The sequence below is a fragment of the Homo sapiens genome, chromosome 8 (genome assembly GCF_000001405.40).
Source record: "Homo sapiens chromosome 8, GRCh38.p14 Primary Assembly".
Lineage (NCBI taxonomy): Eukaryota > Metazoa > Chordata > Mammalia > Primates > Hominidae > Homo > Homo sapiens.
The window spans coordinates 105,350,768-105,368,901 of record NC_000008.11 but is presented as its reverse complement, the minus strand read 5'-3'; the positions used below and the strand labels follow the sequence as shown (position 1 = coordinate 105,368,901).

Below are 18,134 nucleotides of genomic sequence, written 5' to 3'. Positions count from 1 at the left end.
ACATCACCTCAAGCTAAGCAAAGATGACAGAAATGACAAGCTCTAGATAATGCTGAGACATATTTTTCTGGAGCAGCTATTATGCACCAGGCACTCTGATGGGCTGTGCCAACACAACAACCCCTACTCCTCTTTCCCCTATCTTGAAATTTATGGATACTGGGAGCAAAAACCAGGAAAAGGGAAACAGTACATTCCATAATCTAAATAGGGCAAAACACAGTCATTTTCATAAGGGAGGTCAAGAGGAAAGGATCTGGGGAGGAAGAAACTTGCCATATTCTTGAGTATTCAGTTACATAATGAAATAAATCAGGAATAAAATTAAGAAAAAAAAATTTAAAAACCTTTGTTTCTCTCATTTGCTTGGTATAAAGCAAGTATACTTAGATTTAAGCATCAATGTTTTAATTTAACTTTTGAATGCCTATGACAGCTAATTCAGTCTGATTGGGCTCAAAGTGGAAAGAGTACAAAGAGCAAATAAACCAGCAAGGAAGACACACTGGGCCTGAGATTGTCTGAGATAAGATCAATAGTAAGTACTAGTAACCAGTTATTACTTATCTCCTTAAAAGAATTCTCCTTGTGGTACTGGTACCATTCCTTCTGAAACTATTCCAATCAATAGAAAAAGAGGGAATCCTCCCTAACTCATTTTATGAGGCCAGCATCATTCTGATACCAAAGCTGGGCAGAGACACAACCAAAAAAGAGAATTTTAGACCAATATCCTTGATGAACATTGATGCAAAAATCCTCAATAAAATACTGGCAAACCGAATCCAGCAGCACATCAAAAAGCTTATCCACCATGATCAAGTGGGCTTCATCCCTGGGATGCAAGGCTGGTTCAATATACGCAAATCAATAAATGTAATCCAGCATATAAACAGAGCCAAAGACAAAAACCACATGATTATCTAAATAGATGCAGAAAAAGCCTTTGACAAAATTCAACAACGCTTCATGCTAAAAACTCTCAATAAATTAGGTATTGATGGGACGTATTTCAAAATAATAAGAGCTATCTATGACAAACCCACAGCCAATATCATACTGAATGGGCAAAAACTGGAAGCATTCCCTTTGAAAACTGGCACAAGACAGGGATGCCCTCTCTCACCACTCCTATTCAACATAGTGTTGGAAGTTCTGGCCAGGGCAATTAGGCAGGAGAAGGAAATAAAGGGTATTCAATTAGGAAAAGAGGAAGTCAAATTGTCCCTGTTTGCAGACGACATGATTGTATATCTAGAAAACCCCATTGTCTCAGCCCAAAATCTCCTTAAGCTGATAAGCAACTTCAGCAAAGTCTCAGGATACAAAATCAATGTACAAAAATCACAAGCATTCTTATACACCAACAACAGACAAACAGAGAGCCAAATCATGAGTGAACTCCCATTCACAATTGCTTCAAAGAGAATAAAATACCTAGGAATCCAACTTACAAGGGATGTGAAGGACCTCTTCAAGGAGAACTACAAACCACTGCTCAAGGAAATAAAAGAGGATACAAACAAATGGAAGAACATTCCATGCTCATGGGTAGGAAGAATCAATATCGTGAAAATGGCCATACTGCCCAAGGTAATTTACAGATTCAATGCCATCCCCATCAAGCTACCAATGACTTTCTTCACAGAATTGGAAAAAACTACTTTAAAGTTCATATGGAACCAAAAAAGAGCCCGCATCGCCAAGTCAATCCTAAGCCAAAAGAACAAAGCTGGAGGCATCACGCTACCTGACTTCAAACTATAATACAAGGCTACAGTAACCAAAACAGCATGGTACTGGTACCAAAACAGAGATATAGATCAATGGAACAGAACAGAGCCCTCAGAAATAACGCCACATACCTACAACTATCTGATCTTTGACAAACCTGACAAAAACAAGCAATGGGGAAAGGATTCCCTATTTAATAAATGGTGCTGGGAAAACTGGCTAGCCATATGTAGAAAGCTGAAACTGGATCCCTTCCTTACACCTTATACAAAAATCAATTCAAGATGGATTAAAGATTTAAATGTTAGACCTAAAACCATAAAAACCCTAGAAGAAAACCTAGGCATTACCATTCAGGACATAGGCATGGGCAAGGACTTCATGGGCAAAAACCCAAACACCGCATATTCTCACTCATAGGTGGGAATTGAACAATGAGATCACATGGACACAGGAAGGGGAATATCACACTCTGGGGACTATGGTGGGGTGGGGGGAGGGGGGAGGGATAGCACTGGGAGATACACCTAATGCTAGATGACGAGTTAGTGGGTGCAGCGCACCAGCATGGCACATGTATACATATGTAACTAACCTGCACAATGTGCACATGTACCCTAAAACTTAAAGTATAATTAAAAAATAATAATAATAATAAATGAAAAAAATTAAAAAAAAGAATTCTCCTTGTGATACATCTGTCCAACTTATCTTCCATGTAAATAAAGATTCAGTATCTCTTTGCAGTATCTCTTTAATAAAGAATTAACTTCATTTGTTAAAAAAGTAAAAAGATGTTAAAAGATGCCTCCTCAGTGATTTCTCCTCTATATCAAGCAATCTTTACTCTTGGATTTCTCCCTACCTAGCAAGAAAACAACCCTAGTACAGATGAAAAGTCCAAGAGAGGTAATTCACTATCATAGACAATGCCTATCGATTGAATTACGTAAAATACCGTAACTTCCACACACAATGAAGAAGCAACTGACCTCAATTCAATGTGTTCACAAGTCAATATGTCATTCTGCATTCGGAATTAGCATGAACACTCATTTTGAGATATGATAGTATCATTTTGATATCAAAAATAGTGCTTGGATTTTAACCCTTAATCCATCAGCAGTGAATTATTTAAACAATACATTTATAAAGATGTGGGAAGTTTTACACTTTTATACTCTAAGTTTTAACAGAGGCTGAAATTTTCTCTGGGGCATTGGAAATCATCAATCATTTTTGAAAACTGAGGATTCTGAATTGCACGGAAAACTAAATGAAGGGAGGAATTAAATAAAGTTGTTCCCTAGAAAAGTGCCTACGTTTGCAAATTTCCGAACAAACTGAGGAATCTCTGTCTGTTTTGCATATCGAAGCCCAAGTCCAGGCCACTAAGTAAGGTGGTCCTGGCTGAGCACGTCAGTCTGTCTTGATGGGAGGCCATTCTGACTGGACTAAAAGGGAAATCATTTTTCTCCCCCGCTAAGCAATATGGTTTCCTTTGGGGCTTTCCACATTATATTTTGCTAAATGAACAAGCAAACAAAAACCACTGATGCTAACTAACTGCTGCTTGTTGATTTTATTGGATGAATATCTAAAAATGTATCAGAGAATTCTTTTTAACCGCAAATTTCATGACTTACGTTGGTCACTTTTACAAACTACTCCAGAGATTATGCATCATATTTAATCACCTATTTTAAATATTGAAATTGAATATCTGATAATGGAATTTACTTCATTCCTTAAGTTTGCTACCCCAAGACAGGCTTACCATCCACTGGAAGAAGTTTTATCTGGTTCCAGCAAACATGTTCTCAGCAATTAAGTCCTCAAATCTAAAACCTCGTCTTTTATATCACCATTCCAAAATTCAAATGAGATTTCTAATATAAGCTGAGGAAAGATCAGACTTGCAAATTGAAAGGCCAATGATCTCTTCCACTCACCTATCAGTGGATCTAAAATTACCATATATTAGCTTCTTCCTGTGAGTTATGTGATCACCAAAAACACACTGAAAGCATGCTAAATACCCTAGTTGCTAATGAGACAGGACAGGCCAGGGCCCTCTTTACACCAGCACTTATGAACCAAGCTGGTCTTATCAGAGTGAGTAATAAGGAAGTTTGGGGCTGAGAGCAAGTTGAGATAATAGGGCCCAGGACAGAAAAGTTTAATGGGGAAGTGACAAGGAAGGAAGAGTGAACCAAAGAATAGAAAGCGAAGGACTAAACGGGAGGTGCAGTAGGAGCAGTAATTATCAGTACCCTAGAAGGCCAAAGACCAAGACCATAGACCTTCAGAGTTAAAAGCCAGCTTCTAAGGATGCACTACACAAGAAATGGATTGTCCGTTCGAGCTGGTTGCTGTCTAAGTGAACATAAAAGATTTTCTTTTTAAAAATTTGTTGATCTGAGGACTTTACAGGAACTCTTACACTTGATTTGGCCAACAGACATCTTTGTCAATCCTGTAAAACTAAGGATCCATTTTTTTTTTTTTTTGGTATTCTTGCAGCATGGATACTATATGTAGACTTATCAAGACAGACACAATCTCTACATTTGATTATAAAAAAGTTTGGAGGTTAAAATGTCAAGCAGTTTAGTTACAATGAAATAGGGTTTTCTAATGTCTTTAATGGACTCTGACACATTTGTTGAATATAAGATCTTTACTAATTTGTAGTTGAGATGAATATATATAAAATTTCCCTGAACCTCTTTTTCCTGAACTTTTCTTCCTGATTTTAATTTAAATAAAAAGTACCATAATTAATTTCAGAATGTAAATATCTCACTCCTACTTGCCATGAATTATTTTTTTAATTGCCCTATTTCTTGACCTAGTAATTATTGCTTCTCTGATTTACATTGGCTCTCCCCTCCCCCAATCAACCAATTCCTACTTCCAGACAGTATGTTATAGCATTATAAAAATTTACATTATAAAAATTAAGGTTGTCTTAGTAAAATGTAGCTCATATATATCAGGAAAGACATGCATTTTAAGTCTCCCCAACTTCTGAATAAACAATATGCCTATAAAAATATCCATTTAGTGTCAGAATTCTGTATTGAAGCTAAGACCACTATATAGGAATTGAGGCTGATTATGCCTAGCTGTAGTCTACAACACATCTTCCTCTTCTTTCTCTACAAATTTTCTTTTCTAGAAAAAAAACCTATATCTCAGTTTTCAAGAATATGCAGTACATAAGACAGACTATAAACCACATACTGAGAAATATCTATTTATAAATTAAGTTAATTTTAGAAAATTCAAGGAGGGAAAAATTCATTTTAAACAATAGATCTTTCTTCCTATATGCTCAGATCTCATGGCTTACACAGCTCCTTAGTATCTTCTATGTCCTGTTTTCACTAAAGCTATCTGCCTGCTCCATTCCTAAGTTTCCCCAAACTTAGCATTCCTAAGTTTCCCCAAACTTAGGAATACATATCATTTATTATTGCACCTTCCACAGTGTGTCAGCACATGGCCTCATGGTAAGAGACAGCATGCCATAATAGCAATACTATGGTTGTGGGAGTTGGACAGAGCTGAGTTGGAATCTAAGACGCATTCTTTATTCCTCTGAGTCTAATATGAAGTGTCAGTGTGAGGACAATATGAGATAATCTAAATTAAAGCATGTAGTAGAATATTTGGTACATGGTGGGCACATAATACATGTTAGTTTTCTTCACTCCTTCCCTCATTAAAATTAAAAAACTAAAGCTTACAAAGGACATGTTACACAAATATTGCAGAACAAAATAATTTGGCAATGCTTTCACCTTAGAGTCACATAGCAAATGATCTTGTAAAATGTACATTTCATGGTGTGGCTACCCACAGTGGAAAGATAAAAATGTTTTCTATTAAATATATATTTAGCAAGCCACAGAGAAAATATATGTGACACCACTACTATCCATAGATGAAATGGAGACAAAGATCATTTAAAATTTTATCAAGATCCTAAAACCTTGAAAGAGGTACTAAGAATTATCTTATGAAACATGCAATATTCATGTAGTCCGATTTGTGCAAAGTCCTTGACCCATGTAAAGGTGAGTGGGGATACACGTTCATTCTTGATCACTTTCATGAATCCCTTTAAAAAGTAACCAAGTTAACCAAGTGAAAAGGAAAATATTGGCCAAGGGTTCTTTCTCCCACTCCAGCTGTCTTAGCACCCTCTAAACACAGCCGGCTACCTTAGGAAATATTGTTAAATAATAAAATCAACAGCTATGCTAGAAGAAAACAACACTTTTATTTGTGACCTCTGATCTATGTGTGACTCTTCTGATTTCCAACCAAGGGAATTCTGCACTAAAATTCTAGCAATCAATCAGTAACATGCAACAAATTTAAACTGAATGACACAACACTGCCAATATTACAAACGGGTTCACAAAGCTGCTACTTCCAATATTGTGTACACTCAGACTTTCCGCGCATTTATTCACTCAGGGGAACACCATTTTGAGAAAAGGAACTGTGTTTTATTAACATAAGTATGCCTTCTTCACCTTCCAAGACTCTAGCATTATGATATAAATCGGCACTTGAGTAATGTCAATAAAATTAAAAATAAATAAATATAATCAACAGAACGCAGCAATAAACAAAGCAATCTAAAATCTGAGTCTTCTAAATGAAGAGCCTGCTATCATCACAGCATCTCAGTATCACTAATAGTAATAACCCTCTAGGGCATTATAACTTTTCAGTAGGCGTCAGACATAACACAAATCCAATACAATCAGTATTAGCTGTAAAATACGAACTTAGTAGCACCAATATAAAGATCAGTTACCCTGATCCAGTATAGTTATTGTCACCTCACAATATTACATAACTTAAGAGGATAATGAAAAAAAATTTGGCAGGGCAAATTCTGCCTCTACCTAAATAAAGTGCTTTAGAATCTCCTATGCAATATGATTTTACTTCTAGATGACTTGAAAGTTATAATTGAGTCTCAGATCTAAGCTAGACTAAATTGATAGAGACAAATATTATCCTTATACATTCAATAATATACCGTAGGATTTAAAAAAATAGTATGCACACATACACACACACATTCACATGCAATCATGCCTGGCTTAACAACAGAGATGCGTTCTAAGAAATACACTGTTAGGTGATTTCATTGTTATGTAACATCATAGAGTAAACCTGCCCAGGCTGCATGTTACAGCCTGTTGTTCTTAGGCTAAAAACCTGTACGGCATGTTATTATATAAATAGTGTAGGTAAATATAGCACAATGGTAAGTATTTGCATATCTAAACATACCTAAACATAAAAAAGGTACAGTAAAAATATGGTAATATTATCTTATGGGACCACCATCATATATGTGGCCCATTGTTGACTGAAACATCATGATGTAGTACATGACTGAATATAGAATCTATTAAATGCAAGCTTCAATTTCCATAAAGCATTATTCTGAAAATTTATTTTTTAAAAAGAATTTACATAAATACAGATGATGTAATCTACATTTTTAAATAACACTAGATAGTATTATTTAGGTGATGTTACTAGAGAGAACAATAAATAACTAGCACATATATGTAACAAATGGCAAAAAGTTAAAGATCTCCATGTCTAAAACACCAAAAGCAATGGCAACAAAAGCCAAAATTGACAAATGGGATCTAATTAAACTAAAGAGCTTCTGCACAGCAAAAGAAACTACCATCAGAGTGAACAGGCAACCTACAAAATGGGAGAAAATTTTCGCAACCTACTCATCTGACAAAGGGCTAATATCCAGAATCTACAATGAACTCAAACAAATTTACAAGAAAAAAACAAAACCCCATCAAAAAGTGGGCAAAGGATATGAACAGACACTTCTCAAAAGAAGACATTTATGCAGCCAAAAGACACATGAAAAAATGCTCACCGTCACTGGCCATCAGAGAAATGCAAATCAAAACCACAATGAGATACCATCTCACCCCAGTTAGAATGGCAATCATTAAAAAGTCAGGAAACAACAGGTGCTGGAGAGGATGTGGAGAAATAGGAACACTTTTACACTGTTGGTGGGACTGTAAACTAGTTCAACCATTGTGGAAGTCAGTGTGGCGATTCCTCAGGGATCTAGAACTAGAAATACCATTTGACCCAGCCATCCCATTACTGGGTATATACTCAAAGGACTATAAATCATGCTGCTATAAAGACACATGCACACCTATGTTTACTGCGGCACTATTCACAATAGCAAAGACTTGGAACCAACCCAAATGTCCAACAATGATAGACTGGATTAAGAAAATGTGGCACATATACACCATGGAATACTATGCAGCCATAAAAAATGATGAGTTCATGTCCTTTGTAGGGACATGGATGAAATTGGAAATCATCATTCTCAGTAAACTATCGCAAGAACAAAAAACCAAACACCGCATATTCTCACTCATAGGTGGGAATTGAACAATGGGAACACATGGACACAGGAAGGGGAACATCACACTCTGGGGACTGTTGTGGGGTCGGGGGAGGGGGGAGGGATAGCACTGGGAGATATACCTAATGCTAGATGATGAGTTAGTGGGTGCAGCGCACCAGCATGGCACACGTATACATACGTAACTAACTTGCACATTGTGCGCATGTACCCTAAAACTTAAAGTATAATAATATTAAATAAATAAATAAAAGTATGTTCCCCATTCTTTTAAACAAGCTATGTTATATCTGCCAAAAAATGTGATAAGTATGCAATTCCATTTTTCATCTGTTTCCTCAATCATGTATTTATTTTAATTTTTTACTGTGAGTAAAAATAAAAATGAGTTTTTAAACAAACAAACAAAAAAGTTAAAGATCTCAAGAAATGTCTGAATACTTTTTAAAGTCCAAGATTACAACTAATAATGAACTCCATATTCCTTATTTTTTAGCATCTATCTAAATATGTGGAAGTGATAATAATTCGGTACAGAGACAACTTCTGTCCTTCAGGAAAACAGCCTGATGAAATTGTTCAAAGAATCTGAAATTTCACTCATTTTGCAAATACTTCCCTGTATGATGAAAGAACAGAGCCATGTACCAAAATGAAACCAACCTAAGTGCCAAAATAGGGCCAGAATAAGGTTGCTCTTCAGTTGCTTTCCTTCTCTGCTAGGTCAAAGTGACATAAAACTGAGTACGGCATACATTTACTCTTAGAGAAGACTGTGGGCTTTCCCTTGCTCATCATAGCGATCTAGCTCTTTTGGTTTATATTTTAATCAGTTCAGCTGAATCAGTTCATTCAGAAAAACAGATGAAACTTATAAAATGATCAATATTAGAAACAAAAAATTGGATTCAAAATGTCAGTCTGCATTTTATAATGATGGATGAGAGATCAGAAACCTTTGGATATAGTTTTTTCAATTGAAATATTGAGAGTGGGTGCCTTAGTCCACTCTCATACTGCTATATAGAAATACCCCAGAGTGGGGCCGGGCGCGGTGGCTCACGCCTGTAATCCCAGCACTCTGGGAGGCTGAGGCGGGTGGATCATGAGGTCAGGAGATCAAGACCATCCTGGCTAACACGGTGAAACCCCATCTCTACTAAAAATACAAAAAATTAGCCAGGCATGGTGGCACGTGCCTGTAGTCCCAGCTACTCGGAGGCTGAGGCAGGAGAATCACTTGAACCTGGGAGATGGAGGTTGCAGTGAGCCAAGATCATGTCACTGCACTCCAGCCAGGGTGACAGAGCGAGACTCTGTCTCAAAACAACAACAAAAAAAAAAAAAAAGAAAGAAAAAGAAAAAGAAAAGAAAGAAATACCCGAGAGTGGGTAATTTACAAAGAAAGGAGGTTTAATTGACTCACAGTTCTGCATGGCTGGGAAGGCCTCAGGAAACTTACAATCATTGCAGAAGGGGAAGCAGGCATGTCTTACATGGTGGCAGGCAAGAGAGAGAGAGAAGTCGAGCATGGGGAAAACTACCATCTATCAAACCATCAGGTTCACTCACTGTCACAAGAACAGCATGGGGAAAATTGCCCCCATGATCCAATGATCTCCCACCAAGTTTCTCCCCTCAACACTTGGGGATTACAATTCAAAATGGGATTTGGGTGGGGACACAAAGCCTAACCATATCAGTGAGTTTGTCTGATAATTACCTCTGGGGTTCCACAGACAAGCTCTTTTTTCTTTTCTTTTTAGATGGAGTCTCACTCTTTCACCAGGCTAGAGTGCAGTGGCATGATTTCAGCTCACTGTAATCTCTGCCTCCCGGGTTCAAGTGATTCTCCTGCCTCAGCCTCCCAAGTAGCTGGGACTACAGGCACGCACCACCACACCCAGCTAATTTTTGTATTTTTAGTAGAGATGGGGTTTCACCATGTTGGCCAGGATGGTCTCGATCTCTTGACCTCATGATCCACCCACCTCAGCCTCCCAAACTGCTGGGATTACAGGAGTGAGCCACCGCCCAGCCAACAAGTAGCTCTTAATCTTCAGCATCTATATGGCTCACCTGGGGAACCTGTTACTTACTCCACAGCATCCTAGGATCCACACACAGAGATTCTGTGTCAGTGGGTCTGAGGCAAATCCCACCATTCTGCTTTGCTAACCAGCTTCGAAGTCATGTTGATAGCTTTGGTCCGTGCACTGACCACACTTTGATTAGCACTGCCATCATTGTCTCTGATTCTGGGATTGGCCACCTCTGCATTCTAGGACTGCATCACAATTCAGCTCTAGTGACAACTAAGTCACATGAAAGAATCCTAGCAAAAGTTGAGAAATATGCATTAAAAATAAACCTTGGGGCCAGGCATGGTGAGCTGAGATCATGCCACTGCACTCCAGCCTGGGCGACAGAGCAAGACTCCACCTCAGAAAAAAAAAAAAAATGAATCTTGGGATCCCTTTGTAACATAGTTACTGAAACCAACCCTATAAATGCTGATTTTCTAGCTCCAGTTTTACGACACACTAGGTTATCTCCAATTATCTCCAGGGGTGATATAACAGCTTCACAAAATTAATTTTACTCCATTTTAATTTAACAAGGTTCACATCTGGAAAATGAATGCAGAATTTGTTGGTTGAAGTGAAAGTAAAGAACAGCTGAATCCATTAACTCTGCTCCTATAACCTAAAGCTCTTTGCTTAATTTTGTTAAATTCATTAAGGATTTTGCTTTTAACTTGGACCTTGTGCCTCATTCTAATAGAGTGGCAAAATGCTATGGTCAAGTTGCAAACTATTTATGGAAGGGTAATTATAAATATGTAAAGGCTCTGATGAACCCAGTAACAGGCAGTGGCAGGGGTGGCATCATCATTCTATGGTTAAGGAGATGGATGACTTACACGTCCTTCCTTTTACTAACGTGTTCACTTCCAAAGTCAGTTATTGAAAGTGAAAACGATAGCCCTTAAAAACTGATGGTTTATCTCTATTTATCTTTAGGTTACTGGTAATTGTTTTTTAAGGGAATATACATTTTTTTCTAAGTGGCAAAAAATTTTCTAGAAGAAACATAAACCAACTGACTTTGAAAAAAAAAGTTTGTTATAAATATATGACAAAATATTCAATAATGTCTCCCAATTCATCTCTGTAGCTAGTTATGGTTTTTAAATTTGTAGTCTGATTTTATAAATCAAACAAGACCTGAAGTAAACGCTTACCATCTGCTTACCACATTGCTATGAGATGTAAGGTTTACATAAAAGCAAAAAGGCATAAGAACTCTTTGTGTGTACATGTGTGTCCTTAAAATGCTTACATTCTTCATAGGGAGAAAAAGCTAATATATATGTAGAAAAAATACAGAAAATGTGTCAAACTGTCTGACACTATTAGTGAAACAAGTATAAAAAGGAAAAATTGCTGTGGATTAGGAGAATACTGAAAAGCCTCTTGAAGGATGTGGAACTTCCACTGGACCTTTTCAATCAGAAAGATTTATATGATGGAGAAAAGACAGGGGCATCATATGAACAAAGGCAAGAGGCAGGGACTCACGTGTGTGTGCTGGGAGATGGGGTCTCCAGGGAGCAGTACTACTTCACCGGAACAGAAGCCAGGGGCTTGACAGTAGGAGAAATAGTTTGCAAAAAGCAAAGTATTGCAAATTATGGGAAGTCCTAAAACAGGGTAGACAAATTGGACTTGATAAAGTAGGTAATAAAGAGCTATAGCAGACTTTCAGCAATGGCAATGACATGCTGTTAATTGTTTTTAGAAGATCAGCCTGGTAGACTTGAGGAAGGCAAAATTACAAGCAGGATGAAGCAGTAAGAGGAGGAAAACAGGCAAATCAGTGAGTGGTGCCACTTCTCGAAAAGGCAGGCAAGAAATAGAAATGGATTGGGTAAAGAAATACATGCTAAAAACATTATAGTCATCAACTGTCGGGGGAAGGAGTAAGCCTCAACAACTACAGAGAAAACAAAACAAACTAAATATGGACCAGAAAGGCACTTCTTTGCTGTCTTTTGAAGTAGAACATTATTTCTGCACATGCAAACTGTATATATATATCAGTTTCTAAGCATAGCTGTGAAAAGGGTCAATATTCACAGCATCTGGCTTTATAGGAAGTGCAGGCCTGAAGATGAAAAGCAACACAACTGCTTACAGTGTCTCAGATTACAGATCCTTTTGATCTTACAAAATAAAAAGCAATAAATGGGAAAGAATCCACTGACTATGTGTAATGAATCAAATAGAGCTGTGTATAACTTTTATTGATTGCCAGTCAGCCATTTATTAATATTTAATTAGGACCAACTATGTACAAGCCAATGTGTTAGGTGCCATGGATGATGGGAACATAGAAGAGGTCAGCTGACAACTTCCCCAAGCACCACAAATACATAGAAACCTGTCTTGGCCTTCTAAAGCAGTCATGAACTTGAAAACCAAGTGCCAAAGGGAAATCACTGTACTCTCTCGAACAATAACAAAACTGCTTTATCCTTTACTAAAGAAAGTTTGAATTACAGGATGACAAGAAAAGGAGGAATTCTGAAAGTGGAAAGTTTAACCACTGTGTTTGTTACAATTCCCTTTCACAAAAACTTCCATGTAAGGAGTTATAATTCTATAGCTTTTATAGTTCAAAAAGAAGTAATCAAACCAGGTGTTGATTACAGGAGAGAAAAGAGGGAAGGAGAGAGATGGGGCGTGCTTTATCTTTTCCCAGTATTATACTTTCAGTACAAGAAGCATACATTTTCACCAGTTCATTACAAAATCTGATGACATCTACATGTTCAAACACATATTCCATTTAAATGAATGCATTGTGATTATTATAATTAAGTTCGTACCTGAAATTTATAAAATATGCTGCAACACACACTGTAGTTTTTTTTATTTAGGAATCACCTAAACTATGTTGGTCAAAATGCCTTTGGACATATTCCCTACATATACAAATATAAATGGCAATACATGAATGGGCTTGTGAGCAATCTCTTGTCATTTCCTCTTTTCCATCCAACAGAGGGAAATTAAATAAGAAAACAAAAGCAAGTAAAAATAGATAATATTAACAGCATCTTAAAATTTTAAGTACTCTCCGATCATAAAATTAAAAAGCATGCTTGTTTGTTAAAAGGCACAGTAAATGGAATTATTACTGTAAAATGTTAAGGTACACAGCTCTATAATGGCCCAACTTCCTTCAAGTTTTCAAGTAGGAAATTTTCTAGAATTTAAAAGAACAAAACTATTACCCAACATGAACACATTAATTAGCCAGCAAAAAAAGATACCATAAGAAAGGATTAAAGAATTTGTGTCTGAAGAATTTTCAGTGCAAAACTCCTTAGCATAGTATGACAGGAGAATAAGAATGAAAAATGACAGTTCTTACCAGTTAGAATAAAAATAGCTTGTCAATAGTGACTTCTAAAACTAAAACTTCAAACATCCTTAGCGATATATTTTATTTTGCCAAATAAAAGCATAGTAGGAATGCAACAAACTGTTAATACAGAGAAAGAATTTTTAAATGATTTTACAACAACACTGAATTGTTCATATTTTCCGTGAATAAATTCTCATGTTAAAAAACAGTGTCAATTTTTATATTATGAAAATTGCAATAAAATAGCATGTTACATCTGAAAATATAGAAACTTTAGAACATTTGATTTTTTGTTGCCGCTGTTTTTTGTGTTTTTCTTTTTTTTCTTTTGAGACAGAGTCTTGCTCTGTCGCCCAGGCTGGAGTGCAGTGGCGCCATCTCGGCTCACTTCAAGCTCCGCCACCCGGGTTCATGCCATTCTCCTGCCTCAGCCTCCCGAGTAGGTGGGACCACAGGTGCGTGCCACCATGCCCAGCTAATTTTTTGTATTTTTAGTAGAGACAGGGTTTCACCATGTTAGCCAAGATGGTCTCGATCTCCTGACCTCATGATAAAATATCATCCTACTACATACAATGTTCAAAACTCAAAATTGCGTTGCTTCTCATTTTACTGTGTGTGGTTTTGTACTAAAATTAAATGCATCAGACAGAACACAATTAAGGAATGGAAGAGTAGTTATCTGTTTTATCCTCTTTGAACATACAGATGTTCAATGATCATACCTCACCAATACATGCCTACTGCCACTCATGTTTCACTTTCCAAATACTCAGGGTTTAAAACAGAGCAGACTGCACTTTTGATAACATCTGCTACAACAAATAACAAAAAAAGAGTGTGAAGTCTGATGAATGTTTAAACAGAACATTTTTTATGGATCAGCTAAATCTTTTCTGCTTTTTAATTAAAAGTAAAGAAAATGGAACTTAATTATCCTGTAAAGATTAGCTTGTGGGCATCTTCCTGTAAATTACTTCTAATTGAAAGCAAATTGTCAAGTGACATTCAAAGTACTGTCCTTTAAAACACAGCTGTTCTACTGCTGATTTCAGTGCATTGCAGTGTTTTCTTGTTACAATACGGCATATTTGAATATTTTAACAATTTCACTGGTTTGTATAGATTTCCGTTTAACATATCTTAATCACATTTCTTCGTGTAAAAAAGTTAGCATCCTTAAGTGGTTTGCAGCCTCCTTAAGTAAGCTATCATGAGTGCTCTCCACTGAGGTTTACTTTTTTTTATTTGCTTGCTTAGAGTACCACATCTGGACAACGATGATCCAGGAAGTGGGTGGTCATACTCCTTAGAATACAGCCACAATCCAACTCTTTATGATACCTGTATAATTAAGCCACAGTTTATTGATGTTTTAAAACATACTACAAGTTCAAGTGAAATTCTTACTAGAAACTAAAAACAAACAACTTTTCATAATTTAGCACTTAGAATAAAACTCCGGTCCTTTTAAAAAATTTTAAGCAAACACTAAAGGGCAATGTGAAGACTGCTAACATAGGAGTTCTAATGATAAACGTTAATATGAAGATGGATAAGAAGCAAATAAGGAGTATAAATGCATTAACCCACTAAAATATATTTCTGCTTCTATCCAGTTATATATTTAACTATCCACTAACTATTGCTAATTAGCTACTATTGCCTAGCACTGTATTCAGTTCTGGAGATGTAGCCAAAAAATAAAAGAGTCACAGTTCTAATGGAATTTACATTCCAGAAAAGGAGAAAAGAAAATTAAACCTACATAGTTTTTTGGTGTCAGGGACTACCTGGATTCCTGGGCATAGGTTGTTTAAAACATCTAACAACAACAACAACAAAAATCCTTGCCTGTGTAGTGTTCTTATTTCAGTTGATGGTAAGTGCTTTGAAAAAAATATCAGAATATGGTGATAACCAGTCACACAAAAGGAGGCACTATCGTATATGGGGTGACCAGGAAAGGACTCTCTACTAGGGGGACATCTGAACAGAACACAGAGTGAATTGAGTGCCAGGGAGACCCAAGCACAGTGCAGTATGAGAGTATGGGGTGGGGGGATCCCTTCAGAAGCATTAGGGAAGTCTCTAGGAAGGAGACCTCTGATACCCAAGAAAGTAGTGTGAAAAAGGTGAAAGTTAGGAAGGTAAAAGATTATTCATCATAATGTTGGAAGGTTTATGTTTTTGCTTAGACAGTAGGATGACTCAAACCACAAACCCAACTAATAACACTTTAATTCTCTAGGTAGTATGTTTTCAAGCTGTGTACTTAGCTCAAAGCCTATACAACACATTTATCTTATTTTTACATATTGATGTGCTAATGTTGTGCTCCACAGTGAAACAATCTGTATGAGTTGCTCTCACTGTAACTGACTGGTATAGACGAATAGGTAGGTAGGTAGGTTAGCTGGTAATCAAGCAGGCAGGTAGGCAGGCAGGCAGGCAGGCATACAGATAAGGTTTAAATGTTAAATGTTAACATTTTTCAGTAAGCAAAAAGCCACCTTACAACAATGCAGGACAAAAATCTGAACCACAATTTGGGCTCTGCTTCTCATGGCAATATTTATGGAGACATCTGAGAAAGGATAACCAGAAAGCAAACTTCTGAGTCTTATTTTCATCTGCTCGAGCAAATCAGCAGATCCAGATAATAAAAGGGTCAAAGACAGGTAAAAAAAAAAAAACGGTAAAATGGGAACTTCTGGATGTCTTTTAGTCGTGCCAAAAGAACTGAAAAAACAATGTAAAAAAGGAGGATGTTCTGGACTCTTTTCCAATTAAAATCATGTTCTTCATTAATACTGAATTAATGTGGGCTAATGGGTTAATATAAATGCTATTACTTTTAACAAAATTCACTGAAGAATGTTAAGAAAAACTATGTCCTAGTAATCATATAAATTATAATTGATATTGTTATTGTGTATTAAATAAGCAGTTTAGAGCATATAATGAAAGAACAGGGATATTTTAATTCGGTATTTAAAACTTGTCAAAATAAGTTTCTACTATGGTTTCAAAGTTAAAATGTCATTTTCATAAAGAAACATTTAAACCATCCAACAATGTGCAAAATCAACACAACACTATATATTTTGTAACCAAGGCTTAGTTCCAAACGTAAGATGCATGAAGTTTAGGAAGTGATGCATCCATTGGCCATAATTAAGCTCAGCTTAAAAAACTCATTCTAAATTAGTGGCTTTCTCATTTCGGCATGCAACCATTTGCAGGGCATCTTAAAACCCTGAATCCTGGGTGCCCCTCTCAAGATTCTGGCTCCAAGTCTGGAATGTACTTCAGTAATGTGCATTTCTAACGAGCTCTGAGGGGATGCTGATGCTACTGCCAGACCCTAGAAAAATGCCCATCTTTTTAGTTAAATAATTTCTCCATTGATTAAATATCGAAAGTTTTGCTTTTAATATAAAATAGAGCCTTTTTTCCAAAGGGAAAAATGACCTCCCATCTTTTTCACAGCAATGAATTTGAATATTAAAAAAAAAACAACATATATTTGGTTCAGAGAATAAAGAATTATTTCTTCCCTATGAATAGCCCAGATTTCATCATTTACACTTTTAATCAGCAATATTATCTGTAAACCAAATTTAGTCATTAAAAGGAGGATAACCAGAAAGCAAAATTCTGAGTCTTATTCTCATCTGCTCAAGCAAATCAGGAGAACCAGTTAATGTATCTCATGGCAATTCTGATTCCAATGAAAGGATTCTGAGTCAGGATCTTTTACGTAAGTACAAAGTTGAATTTGCACCTAAAAATTCTAGTTAAATTTGATGTACAGTCAGCCCTCCTTATCTGAGGTTTCCACATCCCAGAATTCAATCAATCATGGATTGGAAATATTTACATACACACACACACACAAACACACACACACACACACACACACACACGAAATAATGCAACTATAAAAGAGAACACTAATTTTAAAATATAGTATAGCAACTATTTACATAGTATTTACATTGTATTAGGTACCATAAGTAATACAGAAATGATTTAAAGTATACAGGAGGATTGCATAAATTATATGCAAATACTATGTCATTTTCTTTTTTTTCTTTTTTTTTTTTTTGAGACAGAGTCTCACTCTGTGGAGTGCAATCGTGTGATCTCGGCTCACTGCAACCTCTGTCTCCCAGGTTCAAGCGATTCTCCTGCCTCAGCCCCCCCAGTAGCTGGGATTACAAGCATGTGCCACCACACCTGACTAATTTTCGTATTTTTAGTAGAGATGGGGTTTCACCATGTTGGCCAGGCTGGTCTCGAACTCCTGATCTCAAGTGATCCACCCACCTCAGCCTCCCAAGTTGCTAGGATTACAGGCGTGAGCCACCACGCCCAGCCCATTACTATGTCATTTTCTATCTGGAATCTAGTATCTGCTAGGGGTTCTGAAACCAATTCTCCACAGATACTGAAGGAGGACTATATAGTTCAACTGTGAAATAAGATGGAATATGACAATCTTTACATCAGG

The 18,134-nt window shown here is 36.6% G+C and overlaps 1 protein-coding gene across 5 annotated transcripts in view; it reads right to left on the bottom strand.

Moving 5' to 3' along the window:
- ZFPM2 (zinc finger protein, FOG family member 2) overlaps positions 1 to 18,134 on the bottom strand; it is a 486,102-nt gene that overhangs the window by 435,638 nt on the left and 32,330 nt on the right. Inside the window, exon 1 of one of the 5 annotated variants that reach the window (XM_047421629.1) lies at positions 10,265 to 17,644. The exons of the other annotated variants lie outside the window; for them this stretch is intronic. The gene's annotated coding sequence lies outside the window, so the exon portion shown is untranslated. Of the gene's footprint in view, positions 1 to 10,264; positions 17,645 to 18,134 lie in introns of those variants that run through there. 5 annotated transcript variants of the gene reach the window in all.